Genomic DNA, 19,366 nt, shown 5'->3' with positions numbered 1-19,366 from the left:
TCTCCTGTCACAGCCTCCCGAGTTGCTGGGATTACAGGAATGTGCCACTACACCTGGCTAATTTTTGTATTTTTAATAGAGATGGGGTTTCTCCATGTTGGTCAGGCTGGTCTCGAACTCCTGACCTCAGGTGATCTGCCCACCTCGGCCTTCCAAAGTGCTGGGATTACAGGCGTAAGCCACTATGCCCAGCTAAAGTGTACATTTCTTTTTTTTTTTTTGAGACGGAATATTGCCCTGTTATGCAGGCTGGAGTGCAGTGGCGCGATCTCAGCTCACTGCAACCTCTGCCTCCTGGATTCAAGCAATTCTCCTGCCTCAGCCTCCCAAGCAGCTGGGATTACAGTCATGTGCCACCATGCCCGGCTAATTTTTTTGTATTTTTAGTAGAGACGAGGTTTCACCATATTGGCCAGGCTGGTCTTGAACTCCTGACCTTGTGATCCACCCACCTCGACCTCCCAAAGTGCTGGGATTACAGGCAGGAGCCACCGCGCCCGGCCTAAAGTGTACATTTCAATGGTTTTTAGTATATTCACCATTCTGTGACTCTTGGTAACCAAAATGTGTGTGGGAATTTCTCCCCAACAGTAACCAATCCATTCTTCAGTGGACACCAGTTGGGTGTCCTCTGATTCAACTCAACTGTCACACTATCCACCTGGCGATAGTGTCAGATCCCACAGGTGAGGGCTCAGTCCCACAAGCTTGCCCCTAGTTCCAATGCCAATCATAAGCCCCAGGTTGTTTTACTTGTGCTTCTAACTGACTGGCTGTAAATCAAGATTCCCACTACCCTCTCTTTGGGTTCAACTAATTTGCTAAAGTGGCTCACAGAACTCAGGAAAACACTTTACTTACATTTACTGGTTTATTATAAAGGATATTACAAATGAGACTGTTGAACACCAGATGAAAGAAATGCTTATGTGGGAAAGAGCATGAAGCTTCCATGCCCTGGCAGGGCATGACACCCTCCAGGTGCCTCCACGTGTTCCACTAACTCGAAGCTCTCTGGACCCAGTCCTTTTGCGTTTTTATGAAAGCTTCCTTATGTAGTCATGAGTCATTAAATCATTGGTCATTGGTAATCAGCATAACTTTCAGCCTTCCTCCCCTTCGTGGAGGTTGAGGGGTGTGCCTGCAAGTCCCAACTCTCTCATCAAGGTTTGGTCTTTCCTGTGACCAGCCCTCAATCCTGAAGCTATCCAGGAGTCCCCAACCATCAGTCAACTCATTAACATATAAAAAGACACATCTCTTTGGAGGTTCTAAGGATTTTAGAAGTTGTATGCCACCAGGAAATGGAGAAGAAGACCAAATATATATTTCACAATAGCACATGCAACTGTCAGAGACGTTTGAACCAGAAATAACCATAAAAATGGACAACCAGCACCTTTGGGGCTGCTCTGTCAATGGAGTAGCTATTCTCTTATTCCTTTACTTTCCTAAAAACTGGCTTTCAGTTTACTCTGGAGGGGTCTGGAATCGGACACCTCTCTGGTAACACAGTCACCACTTATATCAAGTTCCAAATCATTTTCATCACCCCAAAAGAAAACTCCATATCCATTAAGCAGTCACTCTGAGAGGTGACAGCGTGCTGGCAGGGCAGTCCTCACAGCCCTCGCTCGCTCTCGGCGCCTCCTCTGCCTGGGCTCCCACTTTGGCGGCACTTGAGGAGCCCTTCAGCCCACTGCTGCACAGTGGGAGCCCCTTTTCTGGGCTGGCCAAGGCCAGAGCCGGCTCCCTCAGCTTGCAGGGAGGTGTGGAGGGAGAGGCGCGAGCGGGAACCGGGGCTGCGCGCGGCGCTTGCGGGCCAGCTGGAGTTCCGGGTAGGCGTGCGCTTGGCGGGCCCGGCACTCGGAGCAGCCGGCCGGCCCTGCCGGCCCCGGGCAATGACGGGCTTAGCACCCGGGCCAGTGGCTGTGGAGGGTGTACTGGGTCCCCCAGCAGTGCCAGCCCACCGGCGCTGCGCTTGATTTCTCACCGGGCCTTAGCTGCCTGCCCGCGGGGCAGGACTCGGGACCTGCAGCCCGCCATGCCTGAGCCTCCCACCCACTCCATGGGCTCCTATGCGGCCGGAGCCTCCCCGATGAGCGCCGCCCCCTGCTCCACGGTGCTCAGTCCCATCGACCACCTAAGGGCTGAGGAGTGCGGGCGCACGGCGCGGAACTGGCAGGCAGCTCCACCTGCAGCCCCGTGCGGGATCCACTGGGTGAAGCCAGTTGGGCTCCTGAGTCTGGTGGGGACGTGGAGAACCTTTATGCCTAGTTCAGGGATTGTAAATACACCAATCAGCACTCTGTATCTAGCTCAAGGTTTGTAAACACACCAATCAGCACTCTGTGTCTAGCTCAGGGTTTGTGAATGCACCAATCGACACTCTGTATCTAGCTGCTCTGGTGGGGCCTTGGAGAACCTTTGTGTCTATACTCTGTATCTAACTAATCTGATGGGGACGTGGAGAACCTTTGTATCTAGCTCAGGGATTGTAAACGCACCAATCAGCGCCCTGTCAAAACAGACCACTTGGCTCTACCAATCAGCAGGACGTGGGTGGGGCCAGGTAAGAGAATAAAAGCAGGCTGCCCCAGCCAGCAGTGGCAACTTGCTCCGGTCCCCTTCCACTGTGGAAGTTTTGTTCTTTCACTCTTTGCAATAAACCTTGCTGCTGCTCACTGTTTGGGTCCACACTGCTTTTATGAGCTGTAACACTCACCGCGAAAATCTGCAGCTTCACTCCTGAAGCCAGCGGGACCACGAGACCACTGGGAGGAACGAACAACTCCAGATGCGCCGCCTTAAGAGCTGTAACACTCAACGCAAAGGTCTGCAGCTTCACTCCTGAGCCAGCGAGACCACGAACCCACCAGAAGGAAGAAACTTCAGACGCGCCACCTTAAGAGCTGTAACACCGCGAGGGTCCGCGGCTTCATTCTTGAAGTCAGCGAGACCAAGAACCCACCAAATCCGGACACAACTCCCTTTCTCCCTATCCCTAGCCCCTGGCAACCACTAATCTGCTTTCTGTCTCTATGGATTTACCTATCTTGGGTATTTCATGCAATGAAATTGTTAATGGAAAGGAGTCCTGACCCAGAGCCCAAGAGAGGGTTCTTGGATCTCGTGCAAAAAAGAATTCAGGGCAAGTCCATAAAGTGAAAGCAAGTTTATTTAAAAAGTAAAGGAATAAAAGAATGGCTACTCTATAGACAGCACCCTCAGGGCTGCTGGTTGCCCATTTTTATGGTTATTTCTTGATTATATGCTAAAAAAGAGGTGGATTATTCATGCCTCCCTTTTTTGGATCATATAGGGTAACTTCCTGAGGTTGCCATGGCATTTGTAAACTCTCATGGCACTGGTGGGAGTGTAGTAGTGATGACCAGAGGTCACTCTCTGGGCCATCTTGGTTTTAGTGGGTTTTGGCTGGCTTCTTTACTCCAAGCTATTTTATCAGGAAGGTCTTTATGACCTGTATCTTATGCTGACCTCCTATCTCATCCTATGACTTAGAATGCTTAACCATCTCAGGAATGTAGCCTAGTAGGTTTCAGCCTTATTTTACCCAGTCCCTATTCAAGATGGAGTTGCTCTGGTTCAAATGCCTCGAAATTATCGCACATACAATTTTGAACCTTTAGTTTCTGGCTTCTTTCACTTATATATTTTTAAGGTTTATCCACATTGTGGGATTTATTAGTACTTCATTCCCTTTTATAGCTGCATAATATATTTGTTTATCTATGCATCCATTGATGGACATGTGAATTGTTTGCAACTTTTGGCTACTGTGAATAGTGCTGCTGTACAAGTGTTTGTTTGAATACCGGTTTTATTTTGGTAATATACCTAGTAGTGATATAGGCATTAAGAATAAATTATTTAGGCAGGTAAGCTACAGGAGTCCTTGGTAAGGTTTTCCTTTTAATGAAAAACAGCCCCCAGATAATTTTCTTTTGTAACAAAGAACATCCTGTAAAATCAAGCTGCAAACATAGACAAGCAAGCTGGAAGCTTGCAGGGGTGAACGCCAGCAGTTGTGGCAATAGGAAAAGGCTACACCTGGGACTACGCATGTTCAAAATGGCGGCTCCATCTTCCCTTCTCTTTGCTAGCCGCGTGTGTAGTAAGGAGCAGGCAACATGGTGCCAGCCAGGCAAAGATTCTATTTGCATAATAAGATTAGGGTGGAGAAGCCAGCTTACCTGGCGTGTTATGTAAACGTCACACCTGGTCCAACCAATCTTTGGACCCTATGTAAATCAGACACTGCCTTCTTAAGCCTGCCTATAAAATCGGGTGCACTCTGCCCCAGGCTGGAATTCCCATTCGAGCGCCCCACTCTCTCATGAGAGACCTTTTCTCCCTTTTTTGCCTATGAAATCTCCTCTCCTAAACTCGCTCCTTGCGTGTATCCATGTCCTTAATCTTCTTGGCACTAGACGAGGAACCTCAGGTATTTACCCCAGAAAACGACGCTGCTTCAGTAGCAGAATTGCTGCATCATATGGTAATTCTTTCTTTTTGAGGAACCACAAAACTGTTTTCCACAGTAGCTGCCCTATTTTACATCCCCATCAGCAAAGTATGAAGTTTGAATTTCTCCACATTCTCACCAATACTTTTTTCCTTAAAAAAAATTTTTTTGTAGCCATACTAGTGTAACCGAAATGTGGGTAAGTTGCTCCCACATGCTAAAAAAAAAAAAAAGCCGGGCGTGGTGGCGGGCGCCTGTCGTCCCAGCTACTCGGGAAGCTGAGACAGGAGAATGGCATGAACCCGGGGGCTGAACTTGCAGTGAGCCGAGATTGCGACACTGCACTCCAGCCTGGGCGACGGAATGAGACTCCATCTCAAAAAAAAAAAAAAAAAAAAAAAAAAAAAGATTATCTGTATATTCTCTTCTAAGAGTTTTACAGTTTAGCTCTTTGTTATTGATGAATTTTAAGTCAATTTCATGCAAATTCATTCTTCTGCATATGGATACCCAATTGTCCCACCACCATTTTTTATTTTTATCTGTTTAATTATTTTATTTATTTTGAGATAGAGTCGCCCAGGCTGGAGAGCAATGGCATGATCTTGGCTCACTGCAACGTCTGCCTCCCAAGTTCAAGCAATTCTTCCTGCCTCAGTCTCCTGAGTAGCTGAGATTACAGGTGTCTACCACCACGCCAGGCTAATTTTTGTATTTTTAGTAGAGACGGGATTTCACCATGTTGGCCAGGCTGGTCTCGAACTCCTGACCTCATGATCCGCCCACCTCGGACTCCTAAAGTACTGGGATTACAGGCGTGAGCCACTGCGCTCGGCCTATTTTTTTATTTTTTGAGACAGAGTCTCGCTCTGTCACCCAGGCTGGAGTGCAGTGGCATGATCTCAGCTCCCTGCAACCTCTGCCTCCCAGGTTCAAGTGATTCTCCCTCCTCAGGCTCTTGAGTAGCTGGTACCATAGGCGAGTGCCACCACACCCTTCTAATTTTTGTATTTTTAGTAGAGGGGGGTTTCGCTATGTTGGCCAGGCTGGTCTTGAATTCCTGACCTCAGGTGATCCACCTGCCTCGGCCTCCCAAAGTGCTGGGATTACAGACATGGGACACCGCGCCCAGCCTCATCCTCCAGTCTCTACCCTTCTTCAATCTCTTGTGAGAATTGAGGGGAAGGGTAAGTGAGGGGGTGAGTCCTGGAAGGGAGGAAGACAGTGAGAGAAGGGCAGGGTCCTGGCAAGCAGTAAGTGCTCAACAGATGTTGGTTAATTTGCGCCTGACTCAGTCTCTCCCATAAACTTGAAAGCTCTTTGAAGGCAGGGGCCTTGCCTCATACTTTTTCAGTATTTCTCAAAAGTCCTGGACATCAGAGACCACCCCATGGTTATTTGATCACTTCAACACACACGTTGGTTATGCGGTCACAGCGGCTATTATGATAAAAACAGGCTCTGGAGTGTGACTTCAAATGCTGGCCGCTGACGAGCTGGGCTGTCTGGAAAATTACTTCACCTCTCTGAGCCTCGGGTGCCTTATTTACAAAATGTTCATGGCAGGGCCCACTTCACAGGGCTGTGAGGATTACAGAGGATAATCTGGGTGAGGCGCATCAGCCCCAGCGCCGCCTGCCACAATTCTATCCGGCCCCACATATGCATCGTCCATAAGCGTCCGGCCCCTGCATTCTCGCTTTTCCACGTGGCCGAGGTGCACACCCCAACCCACTGGGCCAGTCTCCCCGCCCTCTTACCTGCTCTTCTTTCCCGACTCGTCTTTAATACCCACCAGGAGCCAGTCGCCGCGGGCCTGGCTCTGTGGTGGCAAGTTGCATGGGTTCTCCCATCAGGACCTCCCGATGAGCCTACGAGGTCGGTTCTATTACTGTCGCCACTTCAGAGGGAGGAAACAGGCCCGCAGGGTTGGGGAACTTCCCGAGGTCACTGAACTGGTGTCAGGCCCAGATTGGAATCCAAACACATCCCAGCCCATGCCCGGCTCCCCAGCGCCGGCTCCCAGGCGTCTTCCCGGGTGCCAGCGGCACCCGCATCCATTCAAATGCTGCCCAGTCCCCGCTCCTCAGTCGCTTCCCTCTACTACGCGCCCGCATCTCCCCCCGACCCCTCAGGGTCAGGCCTCTCGGTGGCTTTTCCTTTTTCTCTTCCAGAAACTAAGGGGTGAGACCGACGTTTGTGTGCCGGACGCGTGCAGGTGGCGGCGACGCTCCCGGGAGACGCGGGGGGAGAACCAGTCTGTGCGCGCGGCTGTGAGAAGCCCCGACCAAGCTTTCCACGCGCTTGTTTCGGGCAGCAGAGGACGCGAGGGCCGACTGCGTCCCCAGTGCGCAGGCTCGGCCGGGGGCGCGTAATCAGGCAGCCCAGCGGTCCCTTCAAACCGAGGCAGGGAAGCTCTACGTCTTGGGGGCCGCATGGTGCCGAGAGCGCAGACCAGACCCGCCCCGCCTCTCCGTGCCACGCACGCGCTCGGCTCCGCGCTTAATGGTTAGTTGGGTAACAGCCCGCGGTGCCCTAGTTGCCCGGGTGGGGTCGGAGGGACCCTCGCGGGAGGGGAGACCACGTCTCCAGGGGGTGGGAGGCGGCCTCACTGAGGGCTTCGCAGGCAGCTGCGTGACCTCGGAGCGCGGCGCTAGTGGAGGGGCGGCCAGGTGGTGTGGCCACCAGCTCCCGGAGAGGAATGTGGCCAGGTGACCTGGGGTAATCACTTCATCCTCACAGGAAATGCTTTTTTTGTCTGGAAGAATAGTGACTGGGCTGTAAAAACAAATGCCCCTGCCTTCAGGCTCTCTGGGCAAGATATACCCCCTTGGGAGGTGACTGGGGCTGAGCCGAGGTGGGGTTTGTTTTGGGGATTGTGGGGTGCCACCTGTAACCTTCTAATCTTTAAACTCTATTTGTTCCTCTTCCTTTAATTAAACCTGACAAATAATTTTCCCCAGTTCGTGATTCCCGTGACCCATGACTTTGCTCTGCCCATAGAAATTCTCTTCTAATTCCTTCCCCTCCCTGTTCTCTGCTTTGTAGTACGTGAACCTTATTATTATTATTATTATTATTATTATTATTATTATTATTATTATTATTATTGAGACGAGTCTCGCTCTGTCGCCCAGGCTGGAGTGCAGTGGCGCGATCTCGGCTCATCGCAACCTCCATCTCCCGGGTTCAAGCAATTCTCTGCCTCAGCCTCCCGAGTGGCTGGGATTACAGGTGACCACCACCATGCCCGGCTAATTTTTTTGTATTTTTAGTAGAGACGGGGTTTCACCATCTTGGCCAGGCTGGTCTTGAACTCCTGACCTCAGATCCACCCGCCTCGGCCTCCCAAAGTGCTGGGATTACAGGCGTGAGCCACCGCGCCCAGCCGAACCTTGTATTATTTTTGTTTGCTGTCTCCTGTAACAGATTGTAAGTTTCTGTTTTTCTTTCTTTTTTTTTTTTTTTAGACAGAGTTTCGCTCTTATTGCCCAGGCTGCAGTGCAGTGGCGCGATCTTGGCTCACCTCAACCTCCGCCTCCCGGGTTCAAGTGATTCTCCTGCCTCAGGCTCCCGAGTAGCTGGGATTACAAGTGCCTGCCACCACACGCAGCTAATTTTTTGTAGTTTTAGTAGAGATGGGGTTTCACCATGTTAGCCAGGCTGGTCTCGAGCTCCTGACCTCAGGTGATTCAGCCTCCTCGGCCTCCCAAAGTGCTAGGATTATAGTTGTGAAGTGCGGCACCTGGCCCAAGATTGTAAGTTTCTCTAAGGTAGTGAACGTCATTGTAGTTCCCATAACTACATGGTTAACACATGGTTAAACAGAAGTAACAGTGGGCATCTTCAGTTAATTTTGGGATAATTATTGTGACCTGTGGGGTACCCTTCCGTTGTGGTCGCAATCAGTCGCATCAGTCACATTATTTAAATTAGCGCCAAACTTTGTCTTCAGTAACTCACTTCAAGATGCAGGCCTGGCTGGGTGCGGTAGCTCACGTCTGTAATCCCAGCACTTTCGGAGGCTGAGGCGGGCGGATCACGAGGTCAGGAGATCGAGACCATCCTGGCTAACATGGTGAAATCCCGTCTCCACTAAAAATACAAAACATTAGCTGGGTGCGGTGGTGGGCGCCTGTAGTCCCAGCTACTCAGGAGGCTGAGGCAGGAGAATGGCGTGAACCCGGGAGGCAGAGCTTGCAGTGAGCCGAGATCATGCCACTGCACTCCAACCTGGGCCACAGAGCAAGACTCCATCTCAAAAAAAAAAAAAAAAAAAAAAAAGATGCAGGCCTTTGGCCAGGCGCGGTGGCTCACGCCTGTAATCCCAGCACTTTGGGAGGCGGAGGTGGGCAGATCACGAGGTCAAGAGATAGAGATCATCCTGGCTAACACGGTGAAACCCCGTCTCTACTAAAAATACAAAAAAATAGCCAGGCGTGGTGGCGGGCGCCTGTAGTCCCAGCTACTTGGGAGGCTGAGGCAGGAGAATGGCGTGAACCCAGGAGGCGGAGGTTGCGGTGAGCCGAGATCACGCCACTGCATTCCAGCCTGGGCGACAGAGCCAGACTCCCTCTCAAAAAAAAAAAAAAAAAAAAAAAAAAAAAAAAAAAAAAAAAAGATGCAGGCTTTTGTCGCATCAATTTCAGCAACCCGTGTAGAGGTCGATGAATTTCAGATTTGGAACACCCGCTCTGCAAATTAGAAATTTAAAAGCTTACCTTCCTCTTTTGTGATTGCACTGTGTTGCTACTTGTGGTTTGTCCTGTAGAAAACTCAATAGGCCCGGCGTGGTGGCTCATGCCTGTAATCCCAGCACTTTGGGAGGCCGAGGCAGGTGGATTACTTCAGGTCAGGAGTTTGAGACCAGCTTGGCCAACATGGCGAAACTCCGTCTCTACTAAAAATACAAAAATTAGCCCGGCGTGGTGGTGCACGCCTTTAATCCCAGCTATCCCAGCTACTCGGGAGGCTGAGGCAGGTGAATTACTTGAACCCGGCGGGGTGGAGGTTGCAGTGAGCCAAGATGGCGCCACGGACTCCAGCCTGGGCGACTCCGTCTCAAAAAATAAATAAAATAAGAAAGAAAACAGAGAACAGGGCCAGGCATGGTGGCTCACGCCTGTAATCCCAGCACTTTGGGAGGCTGAGGCAGGTGGATCACTTGAGGTCAGGAGTTCGAGACCAGCCTGGCCAACATGGTGAAACCACGTCTCTACTAAAAATACAAAAATTAGCGAGTCATGGTGGCATGCACCTGTAGTCCCAGCTACCCAGGAGGCTGAGGCAGAAGAATCACTGGAACCCGTGAGACAGAGGCTGCAGTGAGCTGAGATCACGCCACTGCACTCCAGCCTGGGTGACAGAGCAAGACTCTGTCTCAAAAAAACAAAACAAAACAAAACAAAAAACAGAGAACAGAGAAGTAGATTAACAACTTACTGACAATCTTTGGAAAGAGAAATTGATCGTTGCAGTTATTGTAAGTGTACTGTAAAGGAAGTGATTTTTATTTTAATGACTATATTCTAGGGTTTATATTGTCAGCATTTAAGCATTCATGTAAATAGTCTAAGATGAATAAACTTTAATTTTTTTTTTACTCTTAATTTAGAGAAAAATGTAACATGCATGCCCTGGGGATTTCTATTTAATTCTAGAACTCAGATTGTTTCCTTTAAACTGATATTATGCTTCTATAATTCAAATGGAACATTTAGAAATGCTAGCATAAGTAACTTTTAGTTTCAAACGTTGCTATCGTTTTCAAAAGTTATTTTGCAAATCCTCAGTTTCATATGTAACCTGAATTTAAAATGATCTCTCCTGAAATAAGAGCGCCGGGCCGGGCGCGGTGGCTCACGCCTGTAATCCCAGCACTTTGGGAGGCCGAGGTGGGCAGATCACGAAGTCAAGAGATCGAGACCATCCTGGCCAACATGGTGAAACCTGGTCTCTACTAAAAATACAAAATTAGCTGGCCGTGGTGGCACTTGCCTGTAGTCTCAGCTACTCAGAAGGCTGAGGCAGGAGAATTGCTTGAACCCGGGAGGCGGAGGTTGCAGTGAGCCGAGACTGCAGCACTGCACTCCAACCTGGTGACAGAGTGAGACTCGTCTCAAACAACAACAACAACAACAAAAAAAAAAAAAAAAAAAAAAAAACAATGGGTGCTTCAGGACTTCTTTCCCAACTCTATTACACAAATCTTATCTCTCGGTACAAAAGAAAGGCTAACTCACTCATTCCAGTTCAAAACCTTTGGGGAGAAAATAGATAGCTCTGGAGAGAAAAATATTGAAGGAGACAAACTAATTTCACCTAAGCATCAAACTTCTGCCTTTTATGTATGTGACTGCCTTCTATCATGCTTAGAATTTGAAAGAGTGATGGTTATAACAAATGTTTATCAACTCACTGCTTTGAATGCAAATGAGTTCAGACCTTTTGAAGACTGGCCAGTAAGTGGCACTTTTCCATAAATCAAGTGAGCAAAGCACCAAGGTTTTGATGAAGATATATTTAAAGCACTTATAACACAACATACAATATGCCAGAAATTATATCTTTGCAACTGTTAAACAGCACATTTAGTAAGCAATGTGTAAGGGGATATATATATATTCCAAAGTTCTTTTGGGACAAAACAGTTTAAGACCACAGACTTGGGAGTCACTTTAACACACATTTAGTTCTCTTGAATGTAAATCTGAGATGTTATGTTAAAAGACAATAGAATACTATGGCTAGGTGTGGTGACTCATACCTGTAATCTCAGCACTTTGGGAGGCCGAGGTGGGTGGATAGCCTGAGGTAAGGAGTTTGAGACCAGCCTGGCCAACATCGTGAAACCCCATCTTTACTAAAAATACAAAAAATTAGTTGGGCATAGTGGCCAGTGCCTGCAATCCCAGCTACTCGGGAACCTGAGGCAGGAGAATCACTTGAACCTGGGATGCAAAGGTTGCAGTGAGCCGAGATCACACCACTGCACTCCAGCTGGGCAACAGAGTCAGACTCCATCTCAAAAAAAAAAAAAAAAAAAAGAGTAGTATAAATTAGGACTTTATGTAATCCACTTTTTGATTCCTGAAAAATAAGTTGATTTTTAATCTTTAGTTATAAATGTCTCTCTAGATATTCAGGATACATTATAAATTTGGTTTTAAAATAGATTTAAATCTGCCGGGCGCGGTGGCTCACGCCTGTAATCCCAGCACTTTGGGAGGCTGAGGCAGGCAGATCACGAGGTCAGGCGATCGAGACCATCCTGGCTAACATGGTGAAACCCTGTCTCTACTAAAAATAAAAAACATCAGCCAGGTGTGATGGCACGCGCCTGTGGTCCCAGCTACTCGGGAGGGCGAGACAGGAGAATCGCTTGAACCCGGGAGGCAGAGGTTGCAGTGAGCGGAGATCAGGCCACTGCACTGCAGCTTGGGCGACAGAGCGAGACTTGGTCTCAAAAAATAATAATAATAATAAAATAGATTTAAATCTATAATAGTTTTTTTTTTTTTTTTTTTTTTTTTGAGACGGAGTCTTTCTTGCTTTGTCACCCAGGCTGGAGTGCAGTGGCCTGATCTCGGCTCACTGCAAGCTCCGCCTCCCGGGTTCACGCCATTCTCCTGCCTCAGCCCTCAGCCTCCCGAGTAGCTGGTACTACAGGCGCCCACCACCAACACCCGGCTAATTTTTTGTATTTTTAGTAGAGATGGGGTTTCACCGTGTTAGCCAGAATGGTCTGGATCTCCTCACCTCATGATCCACCCACCTGGGCCTCCCAAAGTGCTGGGATTACAGGCGTGAGCCACAGCGCCCAGCAACGGGTTTTAAAATTATTTCAATAAATCAGGCACTCTAGAACACAGTGAGGAGGCGCAACAATTACGTAATAATTTTTTTTGGGCGGGGGATGGAGTTTCACTCTTTTATTTTTTTTTGGAGACAAAGTCTCGCTCTGTTGCCCAGGCTGTAGTGCAGTGGCGCGATCTTGGCTCACTGCAAGCTCCGCCCTCCCGGGTTCACGCCATTCTCCTGCCTCAGCCTCCGGAGTAGCTGGGACTACAGGGGACCGCCACCACGCCTGGCTAATTTTTTGTATTTTTAGTAAAGACGAGGTTTCACCGTGTTAGCCAGGATAGTCTCAATCTCCTGACCTTGTGATCCACCTGCCTCGGCCTCCCAAAGTGCTGGGATTACAGCTGCCCGCCACCATACCCCGCTAATTTTTGTATTTTTAGTAGAGACAGGGTTTCACCATGTTGGCCAGGCTGGTCTCCAATTCCTGACCTCAGGTAATCTGCCCGTCTCGGTCTCTCAAAGTGCTGGAATTACAGGTGTGAGCCACTGTACCCAGCTACTGTCAGTTTCATATGCTTTTATTTTTTTTAATTTTTTTTGGTTTTTTTTTTTGAGACAGTGTCTCACTCTGTTGCTCAGGTTGAAGTATAACAGCATGATCTCGGCTCACTAAAACCTCCGCCTCCCGGGTTCAAGGGATTCTCCTGCTTCAGCCTCCCAAGTAGCCAGGATTACAGGCGCATGCCACCACACCCAGCTACTTTTTTGTATTTGTAGTAGAGACGGGGTTTTGCTATGTTGGCCAGACGGGTCTCAACTCCTGGCCTCAAGTGACTCGCCTGCCTCGGTCTCCCAAAGTGCTAGGATTACAGGTGTGAGCTACCGCGCCCGGCCCCAGATTGGGGAAACTTTGAAATGGCTTCTACACGGATCATAACTCTTGCAGGGGAAATGGAAGATGCTTATTCTCTCAAGGACTTTTGATTACCTCTGTTTGTCTGCTCCATCAATGAGTGAGTGGCAATGGGTGGAAAATTGTATTTCTAAGAACTTCATGGCGTAATCTTACTCATTCTGATGAATAATCAAAATAATCAGGGGAAGACAGAAAGGTGGAAGACAGGGAAATGAACTAGGAAGCTGTTACATTAAACTATAGGAAATGGCGACCTGATCTCAGGTGTAGTGGTTGTGAGAGTGGAGAGGAGGATAGGTTCAAGAGCTATTCATGTTGGTCAGATATGGGGCATGAAGGCAAATGAGAGAAGGATGGCTCCCAGCTTCTTGTTTGGCCAGTGATTTGAGCTGGTGATCGAATCATCACATAAATGGTAATGATGCCACTGAAACAGATGTGATCTGGGTGTAGAGTATTGATTTAGAAGGTCATGTGTGAGATGCATGTTTTTGTTTTTGTTTTGAGACGGAGTCTCACTCTGTCACCAGGCTGGGGTGCAATGGCACGATCTGGGCTCACTGCAATCTCCACCTCCTGGGTTCAAGTGATTCTCCTGCCTCAGCTTCCTGAGTAGCTGGGACTACAGACATGCGCCACCACGCCCGGCTAATTTTTGTATTTTTAGTAGAGACGGGGTTTCCCCATGTTGGCTAGGCTGGTCTCAAACTCCTGACCTCAGGTGATTTACCCACCTCAGCCTTCCTAAGTGCTGGGGGGAAAAAAAAAAAGGGCCGGACACGGTGACTCATGCCTGTAATCCCAGCACTTTGGGAAGCTGAGGTGGGCAGATCACGAGGTCAGGAGATCGAGACCATCCTGGCTAACACGGTGAAACCCCATCTCTACTAAAAATATAAAAAATAAGCCAGGTGTGGTGGCGGGCACCTGTAGTCCCAGCTACCTAGGAGGCTGAGGCAGGAGAATGGTGTGAAACCGGGAGGCAGAGCTTGCAGTGAGCCGAGATTGTGCCACTGCACTCCAGCCTGGGCAACAGAGACTCCGTCTCAAACAAACAAAAAAAAAAGGTTTCTGCTTTAGGCCAGGCACAGTGGTTCACGCCTGTAATCCCAGCACTTTGGGAGGCTGAGGCAGGTGGATCACCTGAGGTCAGGAGTTCAAGACCAGCCTAGCTAACATGGTGAAAACCCGTTTCTACTAAAAATACAAAAAATTAGCCTGGAATGGTGGCACACACCTGTAATCCCAGCTACTCGGGGGGCTGAGGCAGAGGTTGCAGTGAGCTGAGTTCGCACCGTTGTACTCCAGCTTAGGCAACAAGAGCGAAACTCCATCTCAAAAAAAAAAAGTTCCTCCTTTAATGCACCATATTTTTTTTTGTGGAGGGAGACTGAGAATAAGAGGAAACATAGCCTAGTGCTAAAGAGCACAGACTTGGGAGACATTCTGATTAGGTTTGAATTTCTGCTCCACCACATCCTGAGCAAGCTGCTTAGCCTTTCTGTTCCTCAATTTCCCCTACCCCTTTTTTTTTTTTTTTTGAGACGACGTCTCGTCCTCTCCCCCAGGCTGGAGTGCAGTGGCGTGATCTCAGCTCACTGCAACCTCCGCCTCCTGGGTTCAAGCGATTCTCCTGCCTCAGCCTCCCGAGTAGCTGGGATTACAGGCGCCTGCCACCACGCCCAGCTAATTTTTGTAGTTTTAGTAGAGACAGGGTTTTACCATGTTGGCCAGGCTGGTCTCAAACTCCTGACCTTATGATCTGCCCGCCTCAGCCTCCCAAAGTGCTGAGATTACAGGCGTGAGCCACCGCGCCCAGCCTCCCCTACTCTTAAAAAAAATAATAGTACTTTTTTTATACGGTTGTTGAAAGTATTAAATTCGTTAATCAACTAAAGTGCTTAATCTAATTCCTGCCTCATAGAAAGCACTATATGAGTGTTTACTCTTATTTAGATAATCTTTTAGATAGGCGCTAGGGAGAAAGATAAAGCAAGGTAAGGAGTGCGAAGTCAGAGGTTGACATTTGATCCAGGATGGCCCTGAAAAGCCTCCCTGATAATGTAAACATTTGATTTGAAGTGATACCTGAGTAAACAAACACTCCAGGCACACCTAACTCCTTTAGGGTTGAGAAACCCTAAAGAACACACTTGACATCCTCTAACAATAGTAAGAAGGCCATTGTAGTTGGAATAGTATGATCCAGGAGGGATAAATGTAGGAGATGAAGTCAGGGCAAATTATGTAGACCCTTTGTAGCACTTTAAAACGTTGGCTTTACATTCTATCCACTAGACCCCAGGCTTCAGGAGTAAGCATGCAAATTAGATCCCGCCAATCAAAGCTTACACAGTGATTAGCCTTGAGTGAACCAAGTACTTACTCAAAGCTAATTATATTCCCAGCATGTTCATTCTTGGAATTCTGTTGCCTGGAAAGAAGCTAGAATTGTTATAGGAGAGTGTGTAAAGTTGAAGTTACTAGCAATTCTTGCACCAGTGAATTGAGGGCATGTCTGAAAGCGGAACCAACACAGAAGAAAGTAGAACCAATATTATTTGGTTCTTGCATTCAACTGTGCCTAAAACCAGAACCCCACTTTAGATTTCTCAGTCACATGAGCCAAAAGCATTTTCTTTTTCCTTTTGAGACAAGGTCTCACTCTGTTGCCCAGGCTGGAATGCTGTGGCATGATCACAGCTTACTGCAGCCACAACTTCCTGAGCTCAAGCCACCCTCCCACCTCAACTTCCTGAGCTCAAGCCACCCTCCCACCTCAACTTCCTAAGCTTAAGCCACCCTCCCATCTCAGCCTCCTGAGCAGCTGGCACTGCAGGCATGCCACCATACCTGGCTAATTTTTTGATTTTTTTTTTTTTTTGTAGAAGCAGTATCTGACTGTGTTGCCCAGGCTGGTCTTGAACTCCTGGTCTCAAATGATTCTCCTGCTTTGGCCTCCTAAAGTGCTGGGATTACAGGTATGAGCCACTGTACCTGGCCTACATTTTCTTTTTATTCAAGTCAGGTCAAGTTATGTTTTTGGTCACTTGCCAACCTTTGTTAAGACAGAGGAGGCAGAAGAAATGGAGTCACTGAATCAAAATAGAAAGGAGTAATTGGCCTGCATGACAGGAAGAAAATCCAGAAAAAAGTCAAGGACAGAAAGCATTCAATAATGCATTTTCAATAATTTGAACACTGAATGAATGATGAAGGAATGTTAAAGTAAGGACACAAGAAGCTTATGGAAGTATTCAGCACAAAACAGATCAAAAATCGTATCTAGTGATATGTATACACAGTGGAATACTATTTTGCCTTAAAAAATGGAAATCCTGCACTTTGGGAGGCCAAGGCGGGTGGATCACCAGGTCAGGAGATCTAGACCATCCTGGCTAACACGATGAAACCCCATCTCTACTAAAAATACAAAAATTAGACAGGTATGGTGGCATAGACAGGCACCTGCAATCCCAGCTACTCGGGAAGCTGAGGTAGGAGAATGGCGTGAACCTGGGAGGCGGAGGTTGCAGTAAGCTGAGATCACCCCACTGCACTCCAGCCTGGGCGACAGACTGAGACTGTGCCTCAAAAAAAAAAAAAAAAGGAAATCCTGTCATTTGTGACAACGTGGATGAACCTGGAGGACATTGTGTGAAGTAAAATAAGCCAGGCAAAGAAACACAAATACTACATGATCTCACTTATATGTAGAATCTACAAAAGTACAACTCATAGAAATAGAGAATAGTGATGATCAAGCACTGAGGGTGAAGAAGGGGAGAATGGGGAGATGTTGGTCAAAGGATACATTTCATTTTTTTTTTTTTTTTGAGTTGGATTCTCACTCTGTTGCTCTGGAGTGCAGTGGCGTGATCTCAGCTCACTGCAACCTCTGCCACCTGGGTTCAAGTGATTCTCCTGCCTCAGCCTCCTGAGTAGCTGGGATTACATGCACCTGCCACCACACCTGGCTAATTTTTGTAGTTTTAGTAGAGATGGGGTTTTACCATCTTGGCCAGGCTGGTCTTGAACTCCTGACCTCGTGATCCACCCGCCTCGGCCTCATAAAGTGCTGGGATTACAGGCGTGAGCCACCGCGCCCAGCCAGGATACATTTCGGCTAGGAAGAATAAGTTTAAGTGATCTGTTGTATAACATGGCGACTATAGTTAATAAAAACATATACTTGAGAATTGCCAAGAGAATAGATTATAAATGTTCTCACCCCAAAGTAATAAAAGTATGTGAGGTAATGCATATGTTTATTAGCTTGATTTAGCCATTCCACCATGTATACGTATATCAAAACATACCCCATAAATACGTACAGTTTTTTTTTGTTTTTATTTTTGAGATGGAGTCTCACTCTGTCACCCAGGCTGGAGTGCAGTGGTATGATTTCGGCTCACCGCAACCTCCGTCTCCCAGGTTCAAGCGATTCTCCTGCTGCAGCCTCCCAAGTAGCTGGGACTACAGGCACGCGCCACCATGCCTGGCTAATTTTTGTATTTTTAGTAGAGACAGGGTTCACTTTGTTGGCCAGGCTGGTCTCAAACTCCTGACCTCGTGATCCGCCTGCCTCGGCCTCCCAAAGTGCTGGGATTATAAATGTGAGCCACTGCGCCTGGCCAATATATACAATTTTTATTTGCCAATTAAAAAAACAAAAAATTGGCTGGGCGCAGTGGCTCACACCTGTAATCCCAGCACTTTGGGAGGCTGAAGTGCGTGGATCACCTGAGGTCAAGGAGTTTGAGACCAGCCTGGCCAACACAGTGAAACCTCATCTCTACTAAAAATACAAGAGTTAGCCAGGCACAGTGGCGGGTGCCTGTAATCCCAGCTACTCGGGAGACTGAGGCAGGAGAATCGCTTGAACCCAGGAAGCGGAGGGTGCAGTGAGCCGAGATTGCACCACTGCACTCCAGCCTGGGAGACAAGAGTGAAACTCCATCTCAACAAAAAAAAAAAAAAAAAAAAAAAAAAAAAAAAGGCTAGGCGTGGTGGCTCATGCCTGTAATCCCAGCACTTTGGGAGGCTGAGGCAGGTGAATCACCTCAGGTCAGGAATTTGAGACATCCTGGCCAACATGGCGAAACCCCGTCTCTACTAAAAATACAAAAATTAGCCGGACGTGGTGTCAGGCGCTTGTAATCCCAGCTACTTGGGAGGGTGAGGCAGGAGAATCTCTTGAACCCAGGAGGCAGAGGGGGCTGGTTTCCAGAAAGACCCAGGAGTGGAATGGGAATGTTCAGCTTCACCTCCTGAACCCTGGGGAGGGGAAAGGGGCTGGATGTTGAGGTCAATCACCAAGGCCAATGTTTTAATCAATTTTGCCCATGTAATAAAACCTCCATTAAAACCCCTGAACAGGGGCCAGGCGCAGTGCCTGTAATCCCAGCACTTTGGGAGGGCGAGGCGGGCGGATCACCTGAGCCCAGGAGTTCGAGACCAGCCTGGCTAACATGACGAAACCCTGTTTCTACTAAAAATAAAAAAATAGCCCAGCATCGTGGTGCGTGCCTGTAGTCCCAGCTGCTTGGGAGACTGAGGCAGGAGAACCACTTGAACCCGGGAGGCGGAGGTTGCAGTGACCTGAAATCATGCCACTGCACTCCAGCCTGGGCAATAGAGTGAAACTCTGCCTCAAAAAGCAAACAAACAAAAACCCCTGAAAAGTCTGGGTACAGTAGCTCACACCTGTAATCCCAGCACTTGGGAGGCCGAGGCAGGCAGGTCACTTGACGCCAGGAGTTTGAGACCAGCCTGGCCAACATGGTGAAACCCCATCTGTACTAAAAATACAAAAATTAGCCAGGCATGTTGGCCCACGCCTGTAATCCCAGCTGCTCAGGGGACTGAGGCAGGAGAATTGCTTGAACCCAGGAGGTGGAAGTTGCAATCAGCCAAGATGGGGGGACCACTGCATTCTAGTCTGGGCAACAGAACAAGACTCCGTCTCAAAAACGAACAAACAAACCAACCCCTGAACAATAAGAATTGGAGAGCTTCTGGGTTGGTGAACACATCGAGGTACCAGGAGGGTAGTATGCCCAGAGAGAGCACGGATGCTCCTTCCCCATACCTTGCCCTATGCATCTCTTCATCTGGCTGTTCCTGAGTTGTATGCTGTATAATAAACGAGTACATGTCCC

The 19,366-nt window shown here is 48.2% G+C and overlaps 2 long non-coding RNA genes across 3 annotated transcripts in view, besides 3 other annotated features; one reads left to right on the top strand and one right to left on the bottom strand.

Moving 5' to 3' along the window:
* The window catches only part of LINC01357 (long intergenic non-protein coding RNA 1357), a 28,015-nt gene extending 21,198 nt beyond the window's left edge, over nt 1–6,817 (bottom strand). For both annotated transcript variants that reach the window (NR_189281.1, NR_189282.1), the window contains exon 1: nt 6,247–6,817. This is a non-coding gene — a long non-coding RNA (long intergenic non-protein coding RNA 1357). The remainder of the gene's footprint in view (nt 1–6,246) is intronic.
* Nucleotides 6,031–19,366, top strand: part of LINC01356 (long intergenic non-protein coding RNA 1356) — a 30,475-nt gene continuing 17,139 nt past the window's right edge. The window contains exons 1-3 of the long non-coding RNA NR_103746.1: nt 6,031–6,994; nt 7,624–7,720; nt 16,094–16,186. This is a non-coding gene — a long non-coding RNA (long intergenic non-protein coding RNA 1356). The remainder of the gene's footprint in view (nt 6,995–7,623; nt 7,721–16,093; nt 16,187–19,366) is intronic.
* Nucleotides 9,861–10,495: an enhancer, noted in NCBI's record as "H3K27ac-H3K4me1 hESC enhancer chr1:113388801-113389435 (GRCh37/hg19 assembly coordinates)". NCBI's record gives its function as "activates a minimal SCP1, AML or CMV promoter by ChIP-STARR-seq in primed H9 embryonic stem cells {active_cell/tissue: H9 hESC(primed)}" and the evidence as "EXISTENCE:reporter gene assay evidence [ECO:0000049][PMID:30033119]".
* Nucleotides 10,496–11,130: an enhancer, noted in NCBI's record as "H3K27ac-H3K4me1 hESC enhancer chr1:113388166-113388800 (GRCh37/hg19 assembly coordinates)". NCBI's record gives its function as "activates a minimal SCP1, AML or CMV promoter by ChIP-STARR-seq in primed H9 embryonic stem cells {active_cell/tissue: H9 hESC(primed)}" and the evidence as "EXISTENCE:reporter gene assay evidence [ECO:0000049][PMID:30033119]".
* Nucleotides 12,439–13,388: an enhancer, noted in NCBI's record as "H3K27ac-H3K4me1 hESC enhancer chr1:113385908-113386857 (GRCh37/hg19 assembly coordinates)". NCBI's record gives its function as "activates a minimal SCP1, AML or CMV promoter by ChIP-STARR-seq in primed H9 embryonic stem cells {active_cell/tissue: H9 hESC(primed)}" and the evidence as "EXISTENCE:reporter gene assay evidence [ECO:0000049][PMID:30033119]".

The sequence above is a fragment of the Homo sapiens genome, chromosome 1 (assembly GCF_000001405.40).
Source record: "Homo sapiens chromosome 1, GRCh38.p14 Primary Assembly".
In the NCBI taxonomy this organism is placed as follows: domain Eukaryota; kingdom Metazoa; phylum Chordata; class Mammalia; order Primates; family Hominidae; genus Homo; species Homo sapiens.
Note: the sequence above shows the minus strand (reverse complement) of the source record. Positions and strands in the feature narration are given on the sequence as shown.